The 22,413-nt window shown below is 38.6% G+C and overlaps 1 protein-coding gene and 1 pseudogene across 12 annotated transcripts in view, besides 4 other annotated features; one reads left to right on the top strand and one right to left on the bottom strand.

Annotated features, from left to right (window-relative positions):
• SETD2 (SET domain containing 2, histone lysine methyltransferase) overlaps positions 1-22,413 on the top strand; it is a 148,405-nt gene that overhangs the window by 75,720 nt on the left and 50,272 nt on the right. For 6 of the 12 annotated variants that reach the window (XR_007095670.1, XR_002959514.2, XM_047448045.1 and 3 more), the window contains 4 exons: positions 874-1,008; positions 2,807-2,926; positions 4,739-5,401; positions 22,003-22,051. Coding sequence is in view for 5 of the 12 variants with exons in the window: in XM_047448045.1 (XP_047304001.1) it covers positions 874-1,008; positions 2,807-2,926; positions 4,739-5,401; positions 22,003-22,051 (967 nt within the window). In the remaining 7 variants the exon portion in view is untranslated. Of the gene's footprint in view, positions 1-873; positions 1,009-2,806; positions 2,927-4,738; positions 5,402-8,037; positions 8,255-22,002; positions 22,052-22,413 lie in introns of those variants that run through there. The other 6 variants (NR_146158.3, XR_007095673.1, XR_007095671.1 and 3 more) reach the window with 6 other exon arrangements.
• LOC124906375 (uncharacterized) lies at positions 374-513 on the bottom strand (annotated as a pseudogene).
• Positions 4,844-4,983: an enhancer, noted in NCBI's record as "active region_19808". NCBI's record gives its function as "activates an Ori minimal core promoter by ATAC-STARR-seq in GM12878 lymphoblastoid cells {active_cell/tissue: GM12878}" and the evidence as "EXISTENCE:reporter gene assay evidence [ECO:0000049][PMID:35858748]".
• Positions 4,844-5,369: a biological region, named in NCBI's record as "NANOG hESC enhancer GRCh37_chr3:47125242-47125743".
• Positions 4,868-5,369: an enhancer, noted in NCBI's record as "NANOG hESC enhancer chr3:47125242-47125743 (GRCh37/hg19 assembly coordinates)". NCBI's record gives its function as "activates a minimal SCP1, AML or CMV promoter by ChIP-STARR-seq in naive H9 embryonic stem cells {active_cell/tissue: H9 hESC(naive)}" and the evidence as "EXISTENCE:reporter gene assay evidence [ECO:0000049][PMID:30033119]".
• Positions 21,099-21,704: an enhancer, noted in NCBI's record as "H3K4me1 hESC enhancer chr3:47108907-47109512 (GRCh37/hg19 assembly coordinates)". NCBI's record gives its function as "activates a minimal SCP1, AML or CMV promoter by ChIP-STARR-seq in naive H9 embryonic stem cells {active_cell/tissue: H9 hESC(naive)}" and the evidence as "EXISTENCE:reporter gene assay evidence [ECO:0000049][PMID:30033119]".

Raw genomic sequence — 22,413 nt, 5'->3', positions numbered from 1 at the left:
AAAAGTTCAGCTTTGAGGTGCATAAAAATGGATTCATATAGCATGTAATTCTTTGGAACTTGCTTTTTCTTAATGACATATTTTTAAGATTGATGGATGTTGTTGCATTTGGCTGTACTTGATTCCTTTCACTGTAGTATTATATTTCATTGAGTGAACATGGCCGTTTATCCAACTTGTACAGATATTTGGGTTGTTGGCAATTTTTTGCTATTATAAATATTGCTTCAATGAACATTCTTATGAATCTCCAGGTACACATGTGCAGAATTTCTCTACAGTTTATTCTGATAAGTAGAATTTCTGTGCATGGGGATACAACTATTTTATTTTTCAGGCTAATGCTTTATTTTTTTCTGAAGCACCCGGCCCCTATCAGCTGGGTCATTCATATGCTGACATCATAAAAAGGTCATTATATATTATAACATATAAATTATATAAGTTTGAAGGAGATATATCTCACACAGCAGCGTGAAAACCCATTCATCATATTTATGAACCATAAAGGATCTCTGAAGTCCTTTTGGTTTAATGTAATTTGTTCATGGTCTCCCATAAGGGCAGGTTTTTCTGTTTTGGCTCATTGCAGATCTCCACCTAGAATTATACTTGACTCATATAAGTTCTTGCTACGTATTTGATGAGTGAATGAAATGCATTTCAAATGTATTATACCACTTTATACTTTCATCAACAGTAGACTTGTTATTATCAGCCTTCTTAACTTTTTCCCCCAGTCTAGTACTTTCCCAGTTTGGTCTTCATTTGTGTTTTCCTGATAATTGATAAGGTTGAGCAACTTTTTGGGTTTTTGGTTTTTTTTTTTGTTGTTGTTGTTTTATAAAAAGGTATTTTTATTTGCTGTGGTAGGTGGATGGAGAGCTAGAAGCTCTGATGGAAAATGGTGAGGGTCTCTCTGATAAAAACCAGGTGCTCAGCTTATCCCGGCTAATGGTTAGAATTGAAACTTTGGAGCAGAAACTTACCTGTCTGGAACTCATACAGGTGAACACTTTAATGTTTGTTTTTTATTTCTGGTTTTGTGGTGGGAATGAATGAATGAAGATGAATGAAGAAGGAATAATTCTGATAAGAGTTAGTCTTATTTTATTTATTTATTTATTTGTTTGTTTGTTTGTTTGTTTGTTTGTTTAGATGGGGTCTTGTTCTGTCATCCAGGCTGGAGTGCAGTGGTGCAGTCTCGGTTCACTGTAACTTCTGTGTCCTGGGTGCAAGCAATTCTGCCTCAGCGTCCTGAGTAGCTGGGATTACAGGCGCCAGCCACCACGCCCAGCTGATTTTTGTATTTTCTTATTAGAGATGGGGTTTCACCATGTTGGCCAGGCTGGTGTGGAAATCCTGACCTCAGATGATCCACCCGTCTCAGCCTCCCAGAATGCTGGGATTACAGGCGTGAGCCACCATGGCCGGCCAGTTTTATTTTTTAAATGGATATGTGAGTTGTGTATGACTTTCAAAGCTTGTACCATATTATTTAAAATGGCTAAAGAGTTCAGTATCATTTAATCTATTAGTACAGGGATCCCCAATCCCCAGGCCATGGGCTGATTAGGAACGGGGCCACACAGGAGGAGGTGAGTGAGCATTACTGCCTGAGCTCCACCTGCTGTCAGAGTAGCAGCGGCATTCGATTCTCATAGGAGCACGAACCCTATTGTGAACTGCACATGCGAGAGATCTAGGTTGTACACTCCTTATGAGAATCTAATGCCTGATGATTTGAGGTGGAACAGTTTCATCCTGAATCCATCCCCCACCCAGTTTGTTGAAAAATTATCTTCCCTGAAACTGGTTCCTGGTGCCAGAAAGGTTGGGGACCATGGCATTATTAGACCTGGTTTGCTTTCTGTCTATATTCAAAGAATGTGGTGGCTTTTTTTTTTTTTTTGTAATAATTCATCACACTTGCCATAGCCTTTTACCCTCCAGTTACTAGCATCCCAAAGCCATTTGTACTACGTGATCTCCAAGCACAAAATTTTAACGGTACCCTTTTTTACACCAGTTTATTAAGTATGCCACAAGATGTTAGATAACACAAAATGATTTTTTTTTTTTTTTAGGGTCTTGCTTTGTTGCCCAGGCTGGAACGCAGTTGTGCAATCATAGCTTACTGCAGCCTTGGAACTCCTGGGCTCAAGTGATCCTCCTGCCTCAGTTGCCTGAGTATCTAGGACTACAGGCACACACCACCACATCCAGCTAATTTTTATATTTATATTTTTGTAGAGATAAGGGTCTTGCTATTTTGCCCAGGCTGGTTTTGAACTCCTGGCCTCAACCAGTCCCTCCCTCTTCCACCTTCGAAAGTGCTGAGATTGTAGTTGTAAGCCACAGTGTAAAAAAACCATGATGATTAAAAAAAAAAAACTAACAGGAAAAAGAGGTCTTTTCAACAATCATCTGAAAGGGAGAGAAGAAAGAATTATTTAAGGACTAATTTTTATGGTTTTAGCTTTATTTAAAAAGTTAGATGCAATTTTTTCTTAGTTCTTCAGAATTTTCATTATAAATGACCTATTAATATTCATATAATTTTCTACGTTAGTAAAATCCCAGTTGACTGGCTGTATTTTGTGTATCAGAGAAGATTATAATCTGTTTAAAGCATTTGTTGTAGAGTTCTATTTAGGCTAATGAAAACAGAGTTTCTAGGTTTTTTTTGTGAATGTAAGTGAACCCTATAATGTGTAACGTATACATGAACTCTCCTCGGGCTCTTTGTAATATTCTGATATTGCCTCCCAATGCTCTGCATCGTGTCTCCCTTCCCCCATGAAAGAACACACACTCACAGTCCTGCCTGAAGTCCTTTCTGGAACGTCATGGGCTGTCTTTGTTGTGGATCTGGATGGCAGAGCTAGGTGACGGCCGGGAAAGTAACCAGAAGCTTCAGGAAGAGGTCAGTTCACATTTAGCTTGCTTGTTTCTTAAAACTGTTATATTGATTGCCTCGGTTGTGGATATGTGATAATATCAGTAATTATGAATTTAGCACTGTATCATTGGTATTAAATAATCAAATAATTTTTTCATCTCAGTATCATTCCTTTAACGTATCTAACCGTACATACACCTTGTTAGTAGTTTGTCCCATGGTTTTCCTATAGTATCTTTTTAAAGTTGGTACTACATAGCAGGGAACTACAAGAGCAAGATATAATAACAACAACATAGTTAAGTGAAAGATCCAGTTTGTTGTTAAAACCAGAGTTTTAAAAAGATGGGAAGTCATATAAAATTTGAACTGTGGGGTCTAAAGAATTGGTAAAGATCTGAATTCTGCATAACAAGAGTATGAACATTTTGAGGAATCTTTTAAATAAGTGTTTTAAAAGATCTAAGTAAAGGTTCATTGGCAGCATTATTAGTGGAGTTACGATGTCTTTACCTTTCTATGAAATTAATAAAATTTTCTAACTTTCTAATTTGTAATATAATCCCAGAGTCTTTTATTTAATAAAACACTTTTAAAAACAAACAAAAAGGAATGGGCAGATAAGTACTTGTTCTTGCCTCTGTCCTTCTCCCAGGAGATTTGGCTTGAGGAAATTGAGGAAGCCTTGGGGTTTCTGTGGAACTACATTGAGGAATACTTCAGAAAAAATTCTTGGATTTCAAAATGGGGGAGGTTGTCTAAGAATGAGGAGGGGATCTCTCTTTGCTAGACAGCTGTTTATCAAAAGCTGAAGAGATGTCTGCATTTTTGTGTGTATGACAGACATCATTTAAATATGTTGTTACATAGCTGCTAAGTGTATATCACAGACACTTGGTAAACTTTTTAAGAAAAGATACCCAGGATTGGTCCAGTAGTGTATATGTTTAAAAAGCTACCCAGGTTTAGGAACTACTGGTAGAGAATATTAATCAGTCCTATTTGATGTTGTGATTCTTGCTGATCAGTCTTATTAAAAGTTTTTCTTTCTTAAGGAAAACAATATTATGATTTTTAAATATGCTTGTGTTTACAGAGATGTAGTTCTTAATAAAGCAGTAGCAAAACTGCACTACTCTTGCAGAAATAATCTGAGTCCCATCCAGAAATTGAAAAAGTCAACTGTAGGCCAGGCGCTGTGGCTCAATGCCTGTAATCCCAGCAGTTTGGGAGGCTGAGGCAGGTGGATCACCTAAGGTCAGGAGTTCAAGACCAGCCTGACCAACATGGAGAAACCCCATCTCTACTAAAAAAAAAAAAAAAAGCTGTGCATGGTGGTGCATCCCTGTAATCCCAGCTCCTCGGGAGGCTGAGGCAGGAGAATCGCTTAAACCAGGGAGCCAGAGATTGCAGTGACCAAGATCACATCATTGCACTCCAGCCTGGGCAACAAGAGCGAAACTCCATCTCAAAAAAAAAACAAAATCAACTGTAGCCAGGTGTGGTGGCTCATGCTGGTAATCCCAGCATTTTGGGAGGCCGAGGTGGGTGGATCACTTGAGGTCAGGAGTTTGAGACCAGCCTGGCCAACATGGTGAAACCCTGTCTCTACTAAAAATACAAAAGATTAGCCAGGCGTGGCAGCTAGCGCCTGTACTCCCAGCTACTTGGGAGGCTGAGACAGGAGAATTGCTTGAACCCAGGAGGCAGAGGTTGCAGTGAGCCAAGATCATGCCATTGCATTCCAGCCTGGGTGACAGAGTGAGACTCTGTCTCAAAAAAAAAAAAAAAAGTCAACTGTACAAAGTGATGTAATTTTTTTTTATGTTTAATCAGATTATAAAGACTTTGGAACACTTGCCCATTCCTACTAAAAATATGTTGGAGGAAAGCAAAGTACTTCCAATTATTCAACGCTGGTCTCAGACTAAGACTGCTGTCCCTCCGTTGAGTGAAGGAGATGGGTATTCTAGTGAGAATACATCGCGTGCTCATACACCACTCAACACACCTGATCCTTCCACCAAGCTGAGCACAGAAGCTGACACAGACACTCCCAAGAAACTAATGTTTCGCAGACTGAAAATTATAAGTGAAAATAGCATGGACAGTGCAATCTCTGATGCAACCAGTGAGCTAGAAGGCAAGGATGGCAAAGAGGATCTTGATCAATTAGAAAATGTCCCTGTAGAGGAAGAGGAAGAATTGCAGTCACAACAGCTACTCCCACAACAGCTGCCTGAATGCAAAGTTGATAGTGAAACCAACATAGAAGCTAGTAAGCTACCTACATCTGAACCAGAAGCTGACGCTGAAATAGAGCCCAAAGAGAGCAACGGCACAAAACTAGAAGAACCTATTAATGAAGAAACACCATCCCAAGATGAAGAGGAGGGTGTGTCTGATGTGGAGAGTGAAAGGAGCCAAGAACAGCCAGATAAAACAGTGGATATAAGTGATTTGGCCACCAAACTCCTGGACAGTTGGAAAGACCTAAAGGTAAGGAAGCATCTTTTGTTCATTTCAACTTGAATTACTCAGGTTTAGAGTTCTACAAACCTAAGCAAAATTAACTACTTTTTTTAGCCATGCATATTTCTGAAAAATGGAATACTGTCTCTCTTACTGTTTTATTTATAAGTGTCTCAAACATCCTCTAAACCGTGGCAAGAGTCATATTAGCCAAACTAATATACAAATGTCTTCTTTTCTGTCACTTAGAAAAGTACATCACAATAGTGAGTTCAGTCATTTAAGTGCTCTTCACATTAAAAACAAAAATCCTTTGAGGAGCAAACTTAGGATTCTATTTGTAATGAGAAAAAATTAGTGTTTAAATTTATTGGAAATCAGTTGTATTAATGGAAAATTAAAAATAATTGGAAAACTAAGATAATTTAGCAGCTTACTAAAAATGATTGAATGTAAATTTTTATTTTAGAAAAACAACTTTATGGAACTAGTTCGTATTCACTTCTATTATTGTTTCTGAAATGGGCCTGCTTTTAAATGCCTATTTCTTTGGACAAAAGAGGAAAAATAGATCTGGAACTCTTATGCCTATTACATACATAATCTCTTGTTGAAGAATGTAGCAAGATGTGCAGGGTTTGCTTTGCAGAAAACCCAGACTGAGTCTTGGATAAACACAAGAATGAATAACAGGATAAACCTAGGAGAGGTGTGGTACATTTCATTTGTAAGTGATCTGGACTTGGGATCCACGTCTTGAGGACCCTGTGGGAACAGGTTACTTAACTAGCTTCTATTTTTCTGTTCCTCCTTTCTTCTGCCGGAGATGAAGCAACCAAATAAACCAGCAATCCTGACTCTTTGCAGCAAGATGAACACCTGAATCCTCCCTGCCCCTAATTATGATGACAAAGCTCACTCCATTAGATCCTGTGATTTGACCCAATGAAACTGGCCTTAAACACTGAGCAAAATGAGTAGTTGGTGGTTGTGTACTATGCTTCCTCATTTGCTGTGTTGAGACCCTTCTTTAAGTATGTTGTGGTTTCAGCTTTTGTTTACCCATTTGAGCTCTTACTCATGTTACTTTCATCACTTACAATTCAGTATAAAGTCAGCCTTATTATGTCTTAGGAAATCAGGCCTTTTTCTAAATATGAAAGGAAGAGTTCGTAGTAAATTTACTTATGAAGTCAGTATGTGAACTGCAGGAATCAGAATTGCAGTTAATTGAAAGAAGTGCTGGGATAGTCACTTGATGGATTTTTATTTAAGGCCTGCTTTGTGACAGCACAGGAGTCCCTAAAAGGAGTCCCTCTTGTGTTTGGAGGCTGCTAGTGGAGCCTGTAAAGAAGCTCAGTTAAGAAGGTGGAGATGAAGACAAGTACACAAATGGACACAGAAAAGGCCTTTATAGCTGTACTTTTATGGAAGGAAGAATAAGTAGGGTTGTAGACCAGTAGTTTACTTTTGCCGGAGAAGTCTCTGGTTGATGTTATTTTTTAAAACTGCTAAGAAGTAATCATTGTAAAGCTATCTTAAAATCTGGAAAAAGTAAATATTCTTGTTTCTTCGTATGATAGTGGGTTTCTGTAATTGTGATGGTATGAATTACTCTCTAGGATATACTTAACCCAATTAGATGTAACCATGGTAATTTAAACTCACACTCTGGACACACATTTGAGTCCTACAAAATTATTTCTTCCCCTTCTTCTTATCTTCCCCACTCCTATCTGAAACATCAAAGCAATTTTATATGTAGCTTGATGATCCTCTTGATTTGAGGTTTAAAACTTTATTTGTACTTAAAATATATCCTTCTTATCCTTCATACTTTGGATTTTTCCTGATTCTTAGTGTCAAGGGAGCCGTTAAGTAAAATTCTCCTCTCTTCTTCAAACTTTAGTTTGCTCTGGAATCATTACCCATCTAGAATTGTATTACTGAGAAATGTTTTTACTTGACTGTGAACTGTGATGTTTTGTTATACATTGGTGCTGGGGTTCTTAATTCATCCATCATTCTAATTAACATTTACTATGGCTCTGTTTTCAAAACTCTGATTATGGTGGTTCTTAAAAAAACCAGACAAACATAGATAGCATTTAACCAGAAGTCTGAAATCAGGAATCCATAATTTGAACATGTTTTAGAGAAACACATTGACATGATGTGATTACTGTATATCCATACGATCCCGGCATTGAAAGAGTTAACTACTTCTGTCTGACTTCCACCTATGTGTTCGAGTAGACATTGGCTGAAAAGAAAATGTCTTATTCAACCAACCTTTATTAGGCACCTATTGTCAAACACTGTGTTAGTTGCTGATCTTTAATTCCAAGATCGTACTAAAAAGCATTGGTCTAAGATTGTGGTTATGTGGTTATGGCCATTTCAAGTCTCCCCAGCCAACCGGGGGCCACCATAACATTGGTGGACATGTGTTCCGCTTGGCTTTTCTACACACTGGATGGAGTGAAGAACAGAAAGGGATTGCTTCAGATTCCTTAATCTTGGTTTTGCTGTGATGGCAGACTATAGGAATCATCAGTAAATGAAAGAGGGTGGGAGGGAAGGGAATGAAGCTTCATGAATTACTCTTTGTCCTCCCAGATCTGATGATGATCCCCCTTGTAACTTGAACCATTTCCATCTAGCTTCTCAGGGCAGCAAGGAGCTTGTTAACATCACCAGCTGACCATGTGTCTCCTTTTCTCAACTCCATTTCCAACTTCGTGCTGAAGAAAAACGAGAACCTAGCGTGCATTCTGTGAAGAAACAGGAAGATGGTTGGGAAGTTGGATGATGCATGAAAAATATAATAGGTGAAAAGAGGACAGAGGTGGTTAACTCACTGGCGCCGGCGTTATTTTGGTGCGTCCATTGCCGACAATGGATGTCGTTCCGGGAAAATCCCTACTCCTGGCGAGAAAGGATTAAGTGAGCTACTTTTTCTATACCTATATACACAGGACCACTGCCTTGACTCCACAAGGCTTACACATTTTGACTCCTAAAGTAGACCTCAACCAGAAACATCACCTAGCACATTGCCACTTGTGAGCATGTATTCATTTTCATGTGAAAATTTACTAGGCTACATTTTCAGCAGGGATATGTGCATATATTTCTGTTTGCAGAAGAAATTGTTGCATATCACCCTTCATGCTGAAAATATACCCTAGACTTCATAGGGCAAAACAGCTGGTTACCAGTGGTGACTAAGTGTAACTTGACTGGAATATCTTCATTCATTTGGATCATAAGAAGAGGAGGTAAGGTTCCTGTGAACTTGGCAATTTCATTTGCCATTAAACACCGAGAGATTGTAATGGTTAGTGATTCCAGAGCCTCTCTTATAAACACTTAGATTATAGGATGTGCATTTCTCCTTAGAATGAAGTCTGGGTATTTCCATTTGCATCTGGATTTAGATGATTTAGGGACAAAATTACCTACATGTGATAAGTTGAACTCTTCCTAATGACTATTCTTATTCTTCTCTTATTTCATCTTTATCTCAAGACATTATCTTTAATTCAGCAAATCAAGTATTTCCCTAGAAAGCTATGTATTAAAACTCTCTATGAAAAGTTAAAATAAAACATAGAGTTGCCTAAACTGAGAAGTTTTGAGTCACTGTTTGGAATTTCACTCCCTCGCTAATATTGTATGTGAAATCTGCTGTGCAACATTTGAAAATGAAATTATGTTTCCTGGATTTCTGTGATAATTTTTGAATTCTTACTAGAGTAAGATTATTCTGTATCCATAAGGATTAATATTACTTATCCTTTAACAAAATTAGAATTGCCCCTAAAGAATGCTGTTTTAGCTACAGCAACATTGAAATTTTTAAATAAATGTCTCGTTTGGTAGAAGGCAAAAATGGTCTAAAATTTATTGGTCCATTTTTTAACCAAATACTTTCATCTAAATCAAGGGTTGGCCAAATCTGCCCCACTGTCTGTTTTTGTAAATAAAATTTTCTTTGAAACACAGCCATGTTCATTCATTTATGTACTATCATCTGTGGCTGCTTTTGTACTTCAGTGGTAGAGTTGAGTAGTTGTGAGAAAGACTGGATGGCTCACAAAGCCTAAAATATTTACTATCTTGTCCTTTACAGAAAAAGTTTGCCAACATCTGATCTAAAAGATAAAGTGCAGAATCTGGCTGCTCTAAACATTCTGGTTTTGAATGAAGTCATTTTCACTTTACTCTTTTGGGTGAGCTCTTAATTCTGTTTCCCTAAAGACATAATGATCATGTTTCTATTGCTGCCCATGAAATTAGTTTTTTTAAAAAAGTCTTGATGCTGTTTAGGAAGTGATTTGGTTGTACAACTATCTTGAGAGGTGGGAGGGTGTATACATTATAGAATTTCCAAGCTAGAAGTGATCATTAAGGAATATTGTTATTCCCTTAGGACTGTGACCAAGTCAGAAACTTGAGACTGTTTTAGTATAGATGTAGGCAGTATAATTTAAGTCTTATAGTAACCATAATGAAAACACATACATTTTCCTTCTTAATACTTTAAACTTTTAATTATGATATAATTTCAGGCTCAATGAAAAACTGCAAGAACAGCATTCTGTACATATTCTACATGTTACACACATTCTAGTGACGAGTCTAGAGAAAATTCAGTGAAAAATTCCTCTAAACTTTTCACTGAGATTCCCCAGTGTTAACATTTTACCTTATTTTTTTTATTGTTTTCTGTTTCTGAACTTTAAAAAAGTAAGTTACAGCAGAGGTGGGCAGATCATTTGAGCCCAGGAGTTCAAGACCAGCCTGGGCAACAAAGCAAAACCCTGTCTCTACAAAAACTAAAAAATTAGCGAGGCATGGTGGCACATGCCTGTAGTCCCAGCCACTTGGGAGGCTGAGGTGGGAGGATTGCTTGAGCCCAGGAGGTTGAGGCTGCAGTGATCCATGATGGTGTCACTGCACTCCAGCCTGGATGACAGAGTGAGACTTTGTGTAAAAAAAAACAAAACAAAACAACAACAACTAAGTTATAGATATGATGCCCCTGGATATTGTGTATTTCCTAAAACCAAGGATATTCTTCTGTGTAACTTTAGTGTACTTACCAAAATCAGCAAATCACAGTGATAAAATACTATGATCTAATCAGCAGACCTCTTTCAGATTTTGCCAGTTGTTCACATAATGGCCTTTATAGCAAAAAAAAAAAAAAAAAAAAAAAAAAGGCTGAGAATCTAATATGGGAGCACACATTAATTGAGTTGTATGTCTCCTTAGTATCCTTTACTCTGAAATAGTTCTTCGGTCTGCCTTTATTTTTTATAAAGTTCACATTTTAAAGTATTTTTGAATTTTTGTAGAATACCCCGCAGTTGGGTTTGTCTGAAACTTTCCTTTGCTTGGATTCAGGTATACATTTTTTTGGTCAGGAATATTACAGTAGTGTTCTTCTCATGGTACTGAATTGTCCCATTACTAGCATTGTCAACTTTTATCACTCGATTAAGCAGTAGTCTGCCAGACTTTTCCAGTGTAAAGTTACGATTTTTCCCTTTATAATTAAAAAGCATCACATATGAGCAACTTTGGAAATATGTAAATACCCTATTTTTCATAAAATGTATCCATTAGATTTAGCATCCAGTGATTTGCTTGAATTACTTACTGTGGTGGTTGCCAAATGGTGATTTTCTAATTCATTATTCCTTTTACTTTGTTTATTGGACATTCTTTTTTAAGCAAGAAGTTTACTTGTTCTCCTATTTGTTCATTCATTGATTTATACTATTTTACTCATAGATTCTTATTTTACCCAATAGATTATAATCCATTAACTTCATTATTTACTTGATGCCTTCATTGTCCCATATTTGGCCAGTAGAAGCCCTTTCATGTTGGCTTTTGTGTCATTCTGACATATCTCCATTATTTTCTTTTACCTTTTTGCTACAATATGCTGTTCCAGGCTCATCTTGTACTGTCCCTTCCCCAGCCCCGGAATTGGTCATTTCTTCAAGAATCTCTTGTTCCTCGCGTTGGGAAATGTTTTTGAAACCAATATCTGGATTCTAGATGAAGTTGTCGATACTAGGACAGTGTTTCTAGGACCCGTCAGTAGATTGTATAAAATATATGTGTGTGTGTATCAATTAACATGTACGTACACACAATGTACTTCACCACTCTATTATCTATCATTTGTTTCCATCTGTTAATCTGACACCATACCCTCCTTTGAATCTTTTGAGATTCCTTCTGTAACTCTCAGTTGTTCATTCTTCTTTTGCCTGTCCCTTAAAAAGTTGTATTTCTTGGGGTACCTGAGATGTATTTTGTTCTACATGTTAAATAGGGCACAGCAGGCCGGGCGTGGTGGCTCACACTTGTAATCCCAGCACTTTGGGAGGCCGAGGCAGGTGGATCACCTGAGGTCAACAGTTCAAGACCAGCCTGGCCAACATGGTGAAACCCTGTCTCTACAAAAATACAAAAATTAGCCGGGCACGATGGCAGTGCCTGTAATCCCAGCTACTCGGGAGGCTGAGGAGGGGGAATTGCTTGAACCCAGGAGGTAGAGGTTGCAGTGAGCTGAGATTGCACCATTGCACTCCAGCCTGGGTGACACAGCGAGATTCTGTCTCGAAAAATAAATAAGGCACAGCATCTCTTCTTTGCCACTTTTAATTCAGGCTCCTGCCATTTCTTACTTACACTTTTACAACATTTATCCTTCTTGCTCTCATTCTTTTCCCCTTTCATGTAACCCTTCATTATGCTACAGTATTTTAAAAACATAGATGTGATTAACAGGAACCTCTAGTAACATCTCAGAGACTCCATTACTCTAAGAACAAAGCCTTTAGTGTATGATAGAGAAAGTAATTCCGTATCTGTCTAAACTTCTTGCCTAGCAGGCAGTTTCTCTTTACACACTCAGTGCATGAGGCACATCAGTCTTCTCATACATATTCACCTCTTCATGTCCTTGAACATACTGTTCTCCTTACTTGGAATACTTTTTTTTCTTTTGAATGAGTTGCAGTTCATGCTTTGTCCTTTTCTGTACTTCTATACAACTGTAATTATCTTAACCGATTACTAAAACTTCTTGTGTAGATGCTTGTTTCCCCTCACTAGACCATGGAATTGCTTTCTTCAAAGGCATGGACAATTTTTTAATCTTTGTAGTAAGAGTTACTTTTATTGTGGCATCTTGGCAGTAATGGTTATTATAAATTACTTCTTACTAATAGTGAGTGACTACTATGTGCCCTCTATAATCTGTGCTACATTCAGTAGCTAGAGCAATCTTTCGGAAATATAAATCCTTCATCTCAGTTTCCTATTTAAAATTTTTAAATGGCTCACCATTACACTGTTGAAATTAAGTTCATTTTTCTTAACGTGGCTTGCATGCCTGGCCATGGTCTGGTTTCCATTTATTTCTGCAGTCTCCTCTCAAGCCATTGTAGACAGGCAGTAGACCTCTGCTGCTAATATTCACACACATACATTCATTCCTGAAAACTCTTTTGTTTTGGATGTCTCTTCTCATTTAAATTTCTTCCTTTTCCCCCCCGGAAAGTCTTTCCTGTTTCTCCAAGATAGAGTGTTTGTTTTGCCCTTTGTATAGGCTCTCACAACATCTTTTCCAATCAAAGGCAGATAACATTTTATAGTGGTACATTGAGTGAAGGAAGAGACTGCTTATGTCTTGGTCACTTGGGTCTTCCCAGTGTCCTGTGAAGAGCTTGGTAATGTAGTTTGACATTTCAAAAATATGTGAATGAAAATATGAAGAAAGTCCATCTTTTTCTGTGGTAACTTCATACTTTCTTTCATACTGCTTCTCGAATCCCTAGAACATATTTTTTATTTGATAGATGGTCAGAAAATATTTTCATAAGCACATTGTTATCTTTTCAACCCTGTGAAGTTAAGTGGTGGTGTTTTTATCAGCTGTAAAGTGGAATCAAACAGGCCCATGAGGTTGTAACTTAGCTTTTAAGTGACAGCTGACAATTGACTTATGTCTTCTGATTTAAATACTGCCTTCTTCCACTCACTTTTCTGGTCCAAAAAATAACTATTTCTCTGTCTTTTCTAGGCAGTTCATGCAATTGTGTTTCTTTGGCAAATACTTTTTAGATTCTTCTTTTTTTTTTTTTTTTTTTTTTTTGAGACGGAGTTTTGATTTTGTTGCCCAGGCTGGAGTGCAATGGCATGATCTTGGCTCACCACAACCTCTGCCTCCTGGGTTCAAACGATTCTCCTGCTTCAGCCTCCGGAGTAGCTGGAATTACAGGCATGCACCACCACGCCCGGCTAATTTCTTTTTGTATTTTTAGTAGAGATGGGGATTCTCCATGTTGGTCAGGCTGGTCTCGAACTCCCGACCTCAGGTGATCTGCCCACCTCGGCTTCCCAAAGTGCTAGGATTACGGGTGTGAGCCACCGCGCCCAGCCTTTTTAGATCATTCTTAATCTGCTTCTGATTTAGAAACTATAATAAGTCTGAATTCATTCTAATGTCATAGAAACCATTTTAGTGTTTTGTTCAAGTATCTTTTTTTCCTTTAATACTGCAGAGATTTTTTTTTTTTTTTTTAAGAGACGGAGTCTCGCTCTGTCGCCCAGGCTGGAGTGCAGTGGCGCAATCTCGGCTCACTGCAAGCTCCACCTCCTGGGTTCACGCCATTCTCCTGCCACAGCCTCCGGAGTAGCTGGAACTACAGGCACCTGCCACCACGCCCAGCTAATTTTTGTATTTTTAGTAGAGACGGGGTTTCACCGTGTTAGCCAGGATGGTCTCAATCTCCTGACCTCGTGATCCACCTGCCTCAGCCTCCCAAAGTGTTGGGATTACAGGCGTGAGCCACCGTTCCCGGCCTACTGCAGAGATTTTTAATCTGTGATCCATAATTGAACTTCAGGAGATGTTTAGAACCTCTAAAATTACATGTAAGACTATAGCATTTCTGGGGTGAGGGTCCATAAATATAAGCAATTTCTCTAACAGGGGCGTGTATATATCTGGGTTGAGAAAGGAATGAACTGTGGTTCAAAAAGTGTTTCTAGATGATTTGGGTATCAGGAGGGCTCCTACTCTTAGCTTTGTAGTGAAGGGTGGGTAAGGCTAGAAAAGAAGGTGGTTGGGGGACCAAGTTTAAATAGAGGCAGTGAACTAGGAGGACTTTCTAGGTATGGCACTTACTGAAGAACAACATTTACAAGTTGCCTTGTGAGTAGCTATGGTCTTTACCAAGAATACACCCATAATGCACAAGAGTCTTTGGTACTATGCCTAGGACTTTTTCTGAGGTATTTTATCTTTTCTTCTTCTTTTTTAGTTTTAAAAACAGGCTATTTCTGCACATGAGGCAAAATATGAAAGACATACAGTGAAATGTTTCCTCCCTACCCTTGGCTTCCATCTGATTTCCTTGAGGCAATCAAGCAGTTTCTTGTGTAGCTTTCCAGAGATAATTTATGCATATTATGCATATATTTTATTTTTTAAAATAAAATTGGCAGCATTATTCAGCTCCTTTTTAATAGAATGTGAAGATTACTTGATATCAATTTATAAAGAATTTATTTTTCAGAACTGCATATTATTTTACTGTATAGGTATGCCATAATTTATTTAATCATTCTCATAGCCATTTAGGTTGATTGCTTTCTTTGCCTTAGCAGCAAGTAATTTTCACCTAAGTCATTGCACACATTCACACGTAGGAATATGCATGTTGGCTAAGTTACTAAAAATTAGTGTTGTTGAGCTACAGTCTGTGTTGTAATTTTGATAAGCATTGCCAAATTGCTCTTCATAGTTATTATATCAATTCAGCTCTCATTGGCAGTGTATATACGTAAGAATGAGAATTTCACCACCCCTGGCCAGCACAAGTACTGTCAAGTTTTATCTTGGTCAGACTGATAGGCAAAAATGGAATATTGCAGTTTTGATTTAATTTTTCTCATATGTATTAGGTATTGAACATCTTTCTGTTTGTATTTCCTACTTTAAGAACTTTGTTCATATTCTTCACCCATTTTTCTTAGTGGCTGAAAACTGCACAGATCTTGTTACCTTTCATTTCTTCGGAGCCCTGCTATTCGAAGTTAGAGTGTTTCTTCAGGGGTTTAAAAGCATAAACAAAATTATTTCATTCCCCTTTTCCTCTTCTCCCTCTCACTCTTTTCTTCCTCTTTCCCACCCATGTATGTGATTTTTATGAAACCCTCCAGACATGTATAGTATCTTCTAATCAAATCTCTTTGACCTACTTGCGCTTCCCCTCTACTCAGGTGCAGACTTGCTAGGTCATAATCCTTCTGTTTTCCCTTTGGCCCTCTTAGCCTTATTGCTCAGTAGTATTTCATATTTCTTTAATTCTGGAAAATTTATCTGCTTAATTTTGTAAAATATTTTCTTCTTTCCTAGAATGCCTTTTACCTGAAGTTGGCACCTGAACTTCTAGGCTCCATAGCTTTGCTTTTCTACTTTCTTTTTATCCATTCCTACTGCGTTTTGTCTGTTCTTTTAGCTATGAAAGTGACAGTTTACTCACAGTATTTTTTTTTTTTTTTGAGATGGAATGTCACTCTGTTACCCAGGCTAGAGTGCAGTGGTGCTATCTTAGCTCACTGGAACCTCAAACCTCCTGGGCTCAAGAGCTCCACCTGCCTCAACCTCCTGAGTGGCTGGGACTATAGGCATGGGCTGCCATGCCCAGGTAATTTTTTCATTTTTCCTTTTTTTTTTTCTTTCTTTCTTTCTTTCTTTTTTTTTTTGAGATGGAGTCTCGCTCTGTCACCCAGGCTGGAGTGCAGTGGCAAGATCTCGGCTCACTGCAAGCTCCGCCTCCCAGGGTCACACCATTCTCCTGCCTCAGCCTCCTGAGTAGCTGAGACTACAGATGCCCGCCACCACGCACAGCTAATTTCTTGTATTTTTTTAGTAGAGACAGGGTTTCACCGTGTTAGCCAGGATGGTCTGAATCTCCTGACCTCGTGATCTGCCTGCCTCGTCCTTCCAAAGTGCTGGGATTACAGGCTTGAGTCACCGTGCCCGGTCCTAATTTTTTCATTTTTCTAGAGACGAGGTCTTGCTATATTGCCCAGGCTCCTGGCCTAAAGCGATCTGCCTGCCTTGGCCTCCCAAAGTGTTGGGATCACAGGTGTGAGCCACTGCACCCAGGCTTGCTTGCAGTCTTTTTTTCTCTTTCTCAGTATTGCTGTCATTTAGGAAAATATTTAGGAAAAAAGGTTTGGTTGGCCTATACGAGATTTGATCTGTACTTGTTAACAAGGAATAACTAAATCTAGTCTTAGTTTTCAAAAATAAATCTGTTATTACAGAACAGATAATCTGATCTCTATATAACAAAAGGTGGAAATCTTGCGCCTGTAAATTATTTTGTTCTTTTTTTTGAGACAGAGTCTCACTCTGTCGCCCAGGCTGAAGTGCAGTGGCGTGATCTCAGCTCACTGCAAGCTCCGCCTCCCGGATTCATGCCATTCTCCTGCCTCAGCCTCCCCAGTAGCTGGGACTACAGGCACCCGCCACCAGGCCTGGCTAATTTTTTGTATTTTTGGTAGAGACGGGGTTTCACCGTGTTAGCCAGGATGGTCTCGATCTTCTGACCTCGTGATCTGCCCGCCTCGGCCTCCCAAAGTGCTGGGATTACAAGCGTGAGCCACTGCGCCCCACCAATTATTTTGTTCTTATAAGTGTTGTTTAGCTCAGGAACAGTCTAAACCAGTGGTAACCTTTTTCTTGTCAGAAAAAGATTTCTTATAAATTATTTAATAATTTTGTTTTAATCCTGTTTCTACAGTATATTTTTAGAGTTTATTTGGGATGTATTAATGAAGTGCTGCATTGCTTCCAATGAGTACCTTTTGAGCCTGTCATAAGAAAACGTTGTAAAGTAAGCCATGTGACCTGGTAGTAGTAGGTAACTTGTTCAAGTGTTTATTAATAGAAAACATACTATATGGAACATACTATTTCGAGTTAAAGACTTTCTACCTTTTACTTTTATTTGTTTTTTTTTTTCTGTATGTTTTGTGTCTGGGCAATCTCCAGCAGTATCACTATATGTTATTGTTTCTTAAATTTCCCCAAATTGTGATCTTTTGCTTTAGCCTGTTTCCTGAATTTCAAATGTATATTTATCACTCTGACCCTGGAAACACAATGTTTTGGGCTGTAGGTGAGGCCTTTAAACAGTAGTTCTTTCCAGGGATAAAAGCGTAGGGTATATGCAGTATTTTGAGTTTATGTAGCACTGTGTAGGTGATTTCTATAAATTAGAAGTAGAATTTCACTTGTTGGTCCATTCAGAAAGGAATTGAGTGTTGATTATGTGCCAGACACTGTTCTTGGTGCTAGAGATACAATAAAGAATAAGACAGTATGGGCCCATAATAATTATAGCTTGAGTGTGTATGAATTGTGTGTTAGTTGAGGTTTGCACCTAGACACTAAAGAAATAAGAGGACAATATGTAAAAAGTATCAGATGGAGTGTGGAAGCAGATTCTTTTAGGTCTGTCTGAGGGCAAGAGCAGTCCTAGAACCTAACTTACAGAATATCAAACCTGCCAGGCATAGTGGCACGCACCTGTAGGCCAGCTACTTGGGAAGCTGAAGATCAAAGCATCCCTTGAGCATGGGAGTTTGAGGGTGCAGTGAGCTATGATCACACCACTGCACTGGACATGATGGCTTCCAGCACTTCGGGAGGCTAAGACAGGAGGATCACTTGAGGCCAGGAGTTTGAGACCAGCCTGGGCAACAGAGCAAGACCCCATCGCTATACACACATATACACACACAATATTAAATCTTAGAACATCCACAGTATTGTCTTCAGTATTCTCTTCCAGTAAATAACATTTTGAGACCTTATAGATCTGAAAAATGTCCTTATTCTATTCTCCCTTGTTTGGCAGATCATATAATTATCATTTTGAAATCTTCTGTTATAGTATGCCAGTCTCTTGAGTGGAATATTTAACAAAGTAAGGTGATCTTACATTAAGGGTTAACATGAATGAAGCCAATTTAAACATTTTCTGTAACAGACTCTGTGGCCTATGGATGTGACATTATTCCAGACAGACTCAAGTATCACTGAGACTAATACTATTATTCACAAGACAGAATGATCTTAAGAAATGTCAAAGTTATCCTCGCGTGGCTGCTTCCTTCTCAGCTTTCAATGTTGTGGGACTTTGGAAAACTTCAGTTGTATTTTCAGGACCCCATTCTCTTAATATATAAAATAAGGAGGAGACAGTAGGTAATTTGAGTTGCCAGCTTAAATTTTGTATGTAGCCTTGACTAGAAAGAGAGAGGATCAAGTTAGCAGCTCCAAGTGCTTAGGTACATATTGATAGAAATTGTTTCTCATGTGATTAGGCACACAGTAAATAGTAGCTCCTGGTCATTAGTCAGTAGTAATCATTATTTTGTGAACATCAAAATACATTTTCAACTTAGTAGTTGATCTAAACTTTTGAACGTAACTAAGAATTTATCTTTGAGAAGCGTTTCTGGTGGTACATTAACTGCCGCTACAGAGTGGGTCCCCAACTTGAGGCCTATGTAATAAATTACTTTAAATTTTTGTAATAAATGCTTATAATGCCAAGATATTATGCAAAAGAAACTAGGTCAAAATTGTGTTATTCTTAGTGGGACCCTCAATACACCAATTCTAAGTACCTTTTGTGAATGAACCTGCTGTCTTTTGGAGTGCCTAGGTTTACAGAGTACCTAATGCAAATGTCATTTCCAAGCTTCTTAAAATTAGCAGAATACCTTTTTTCCCTTATAGTGTGGGTAGATGGTAATAAATGGCGTTCTTACTTTTTCCTGTCTAATAACCCCTCTGAGAGGCAGACAGAGGAGTAAGACACACAGAACTAAGAGTGCCAGCTTGCTCCTTCCTGTCTTTATTCCTGATTCAGTATTACCCACAGCTAGAAATTGACAACTCAGTAACTTCAGATGTCCCTCATAGTAGCAGATGGGAATGTACCCCCTCTCTAAAGGCAAAAGCAGATCAAGAGAAAAGAGAGCCCAGATGTCTCTTAGCTGAGGGCAGGCCTACCTAGTTTTTTCTCCCAGATTCTCTCTTGTGGGGAGGGGTGGGTGAGGATAAGAATAGCCAGTAGTTCAGTAGTTCTCAGCCTTCTCTGTGCATCAGAATCATCTGAGGAGCTTCTAAAAAATACGCATGTCTGGCATCCACATCCAGAGATTTAGATTCACTTTGTCTGGGGTGGTATTTCCATGAACGCTTCTTGGGTGGTTTAATTGTACAACCAGGGTAGAGAATCACAGCTCTAATGAAAGTTCTTCTACATAGGAAGGAGAGGTTAAGGGGATGGAGGATGTCACCTGCATTTGTGCATAAATCTCAGAATGGTACTCCTTCTCAAAATAATGTTGTTAGGCATGTCCTGTGTCATCTAATACAGAAGATAAAAGTGCTCTTGAGTTAGACTGTCTGGTAGCATCATAACCTTGGGTAGATTGCTAAGCTTTTTAAGTAAGTTTCCTTTTTGGAAAATTGAGGTAATAGTACTTACCTCATAGGGTCGTTTTGAAGCTCAAATAAGATAATGTATTTGAAGGGCCGGGTGCGGTGGCTCACATCTGTAATCCCAGAACTTTGGGAGGCCAAGGTGGGCAGATCATGAGGTCAGGAGTTCGAGACCAGTCTGGCCAACATGATGAAACCCCATCTCTACTAAAAATACAAAAATTAGCCAAGCATGGTGGCATGCACCTGTAATCCCAGTTACTGGGGAGGCTAAGGAGAATCGCTTGAACCTGGGAGGTGGAGGTTGCAATGAGCTGAGATCGCACCACTGCACTCCAGCCTGTGCGACAGAGACCCCGGTTCAAAAAACAAAACAAAACAAAAAGATAGGCCGGGCGCAGTGGCTTACGCCTGTAATCCTAGCACTTTGGGAGGCCAGGGTGGGAAGATCATGAGATCAGGAGTTCGAGACCAACCTGGCTAACATGGTGAAACCCTGTCTTTACTAAAAATACAAAAATTAGCTGGGCATGGTGGTGTGTGCCTATAATCCCTGCTACTCAGGAGGCTGAGGCAGGAGAATTGCTTGAACCCAGGAGGCAGAGGTTGCAGTAAGCTGAGATTGTGCCGCTTTACCCCAGCCTGGATGACAGAGCAAGACTCCGTCTCAAAAAAAAAAAAAAAAAAAAAGATAGTGTATTTGAAATGTTCAGCATGATATCTGGCACACAGTATAAGTGCACAATTAATTATAATCATCTTTATTAATTTGTCAGCATGCATATAGTATTGGAGGTTTAAAAAAATTTTTCATTTATATAGATTTCCCTGGATCTGTGCAGTCCATATTGATCCTTTTTAATGGCAACTGAATATTACATCATGACCTTTCCTCAGTTGTGTGACATGTGGCTTATTATTTTTCACAAATATTGTGAGAAGCAACAATTGTGGAGAGGAGGCCACAGGTGTGGTTAATATTATGAGATTCCTCTGAAGGGATGATATCACCTTATGTACTATTGAGAGTGTGTAGGCTTGTTACTGTCCCACTTAAGATGACTGGATAAGAAAGTATTGTGCCCAATAGTTACTCGATGGACGGTGGAATAGTGAAGAGCTGTTAAAGAACAAAATAGGTTCTAGGCCTTAGATAACACAAGAAAAGGTACTTAAAAGCCTTTAAAACAGTTCACATTTCTCAGGATCAATTTTGGTACAGTGATCAAGAGGAGCAGTGATCTAATGCTTATCCTTTATATTTTTTATTTTTTATAACAAACACAATGTGAAAGTAGATATTACATTGGCCATTAGTCATGTTGGTTTTGCATTTATAGAAAAATACACTGAATAGTAGGAATTGTCTTTACACATACAATTTTTCTGAAGTGTTTTTATATAACTGGGTAGTTATTAACCTTTTCTTTCTCTAAGTAGAGATGGCAAGTGCACATTAGAATTATGAATACTTGGCCAGGCATGGTGGCTCACGCCTGTAATCCCAGCACTTTGGGAGGCTGAGTAGATTGCTTGAGCCCAGGAGTTCGAGACCAGCCTGGGCAATGTGATAAAACCCCATCTCTACAAAAATAGAAAAAATTAGCGGGGCATGGTGGCATCCACCTGTGGTCCCAGCTACTTGGGAGGCTGGGGCAGAAGGATTGCTTGTGCCTGGGAGGCAGAGGTTGCAGTGAGCCGAGATCATGCCACTGCCCTTCAGCCTGGGTGACAGAGCAAGACCTTGTCTCAAAAAAAAAAAAAAAAAAAAAAAAAAGATGCTCAGGAAGCGTATCCTTGCCCAGTCATTTAGTATGCTGCTTTGCTAGTGAGATCGTACAAGCTTGATAGATGTAAATATATGTATTTCTGCTATATATTTTTTCTTGTTTTTAAGGGGCCAGGATATATTCTTATTTAAAGCCCAGATATAAGTCAAATTTTAGAGAATAAGTACCAGCTTGTTACTTTCCATTTCTTTATTGTCATGTGAAAACAGTCAGTTTCAAAGCAATCACCATTTCCACCCTCACTAATAACCCTCCCTCTGGTTTATTTTTTGCAGGAGGTATATCGAATTCCAAAGAAAAGTCAAACTGAAAAGGAAAACACAAGTAGGTATTCAGAGATACTCTGTGTTGATGGCTTTACAAATATTCTTTTGTTATGTGCAGAGGTAACTGATAAGAACTTAAGCGTTTTTGTTTTTGAAACTAGAGAATATATAACTAGGTAAATGAAATATTTGGTGTAAAAGTTTGGAAACTTGTGCTTTTATTCTTAATGCATTTTGCCAAAGGAAATGTCTCTTACACTGTTTTGTTGTCGCTTTCCTTGAACTCAGTCTTTACTAGCTTTTTTTCTATTCGTTTGTCCTCTAGAGCAGACATTCTTTATTTTTTTTATTTAGTCTTTTTTTCTTTTATTATTGTGATTTTGATTTTTTTTTTCCTTCGCACCAGATAGAGCAGACATT

Source organism: Homo sapiens, chromosome 3 (assembly GCF_000001405.40).
Source record: "Homo sapiens chromosome 3, GRCh38.p14 Primary Assembly".
NCBI classification, from domain to species: Eukaryota; Metazoa; Chordata; class Mammalia; order Primates; family Hominidae; genus Homo; species Homo sapiens.
The sequence above is the reverse complement of the archived record's forward strand: the minus strand, read 5'-3'. Positions and strand labels throughout refer to the sequence as shown.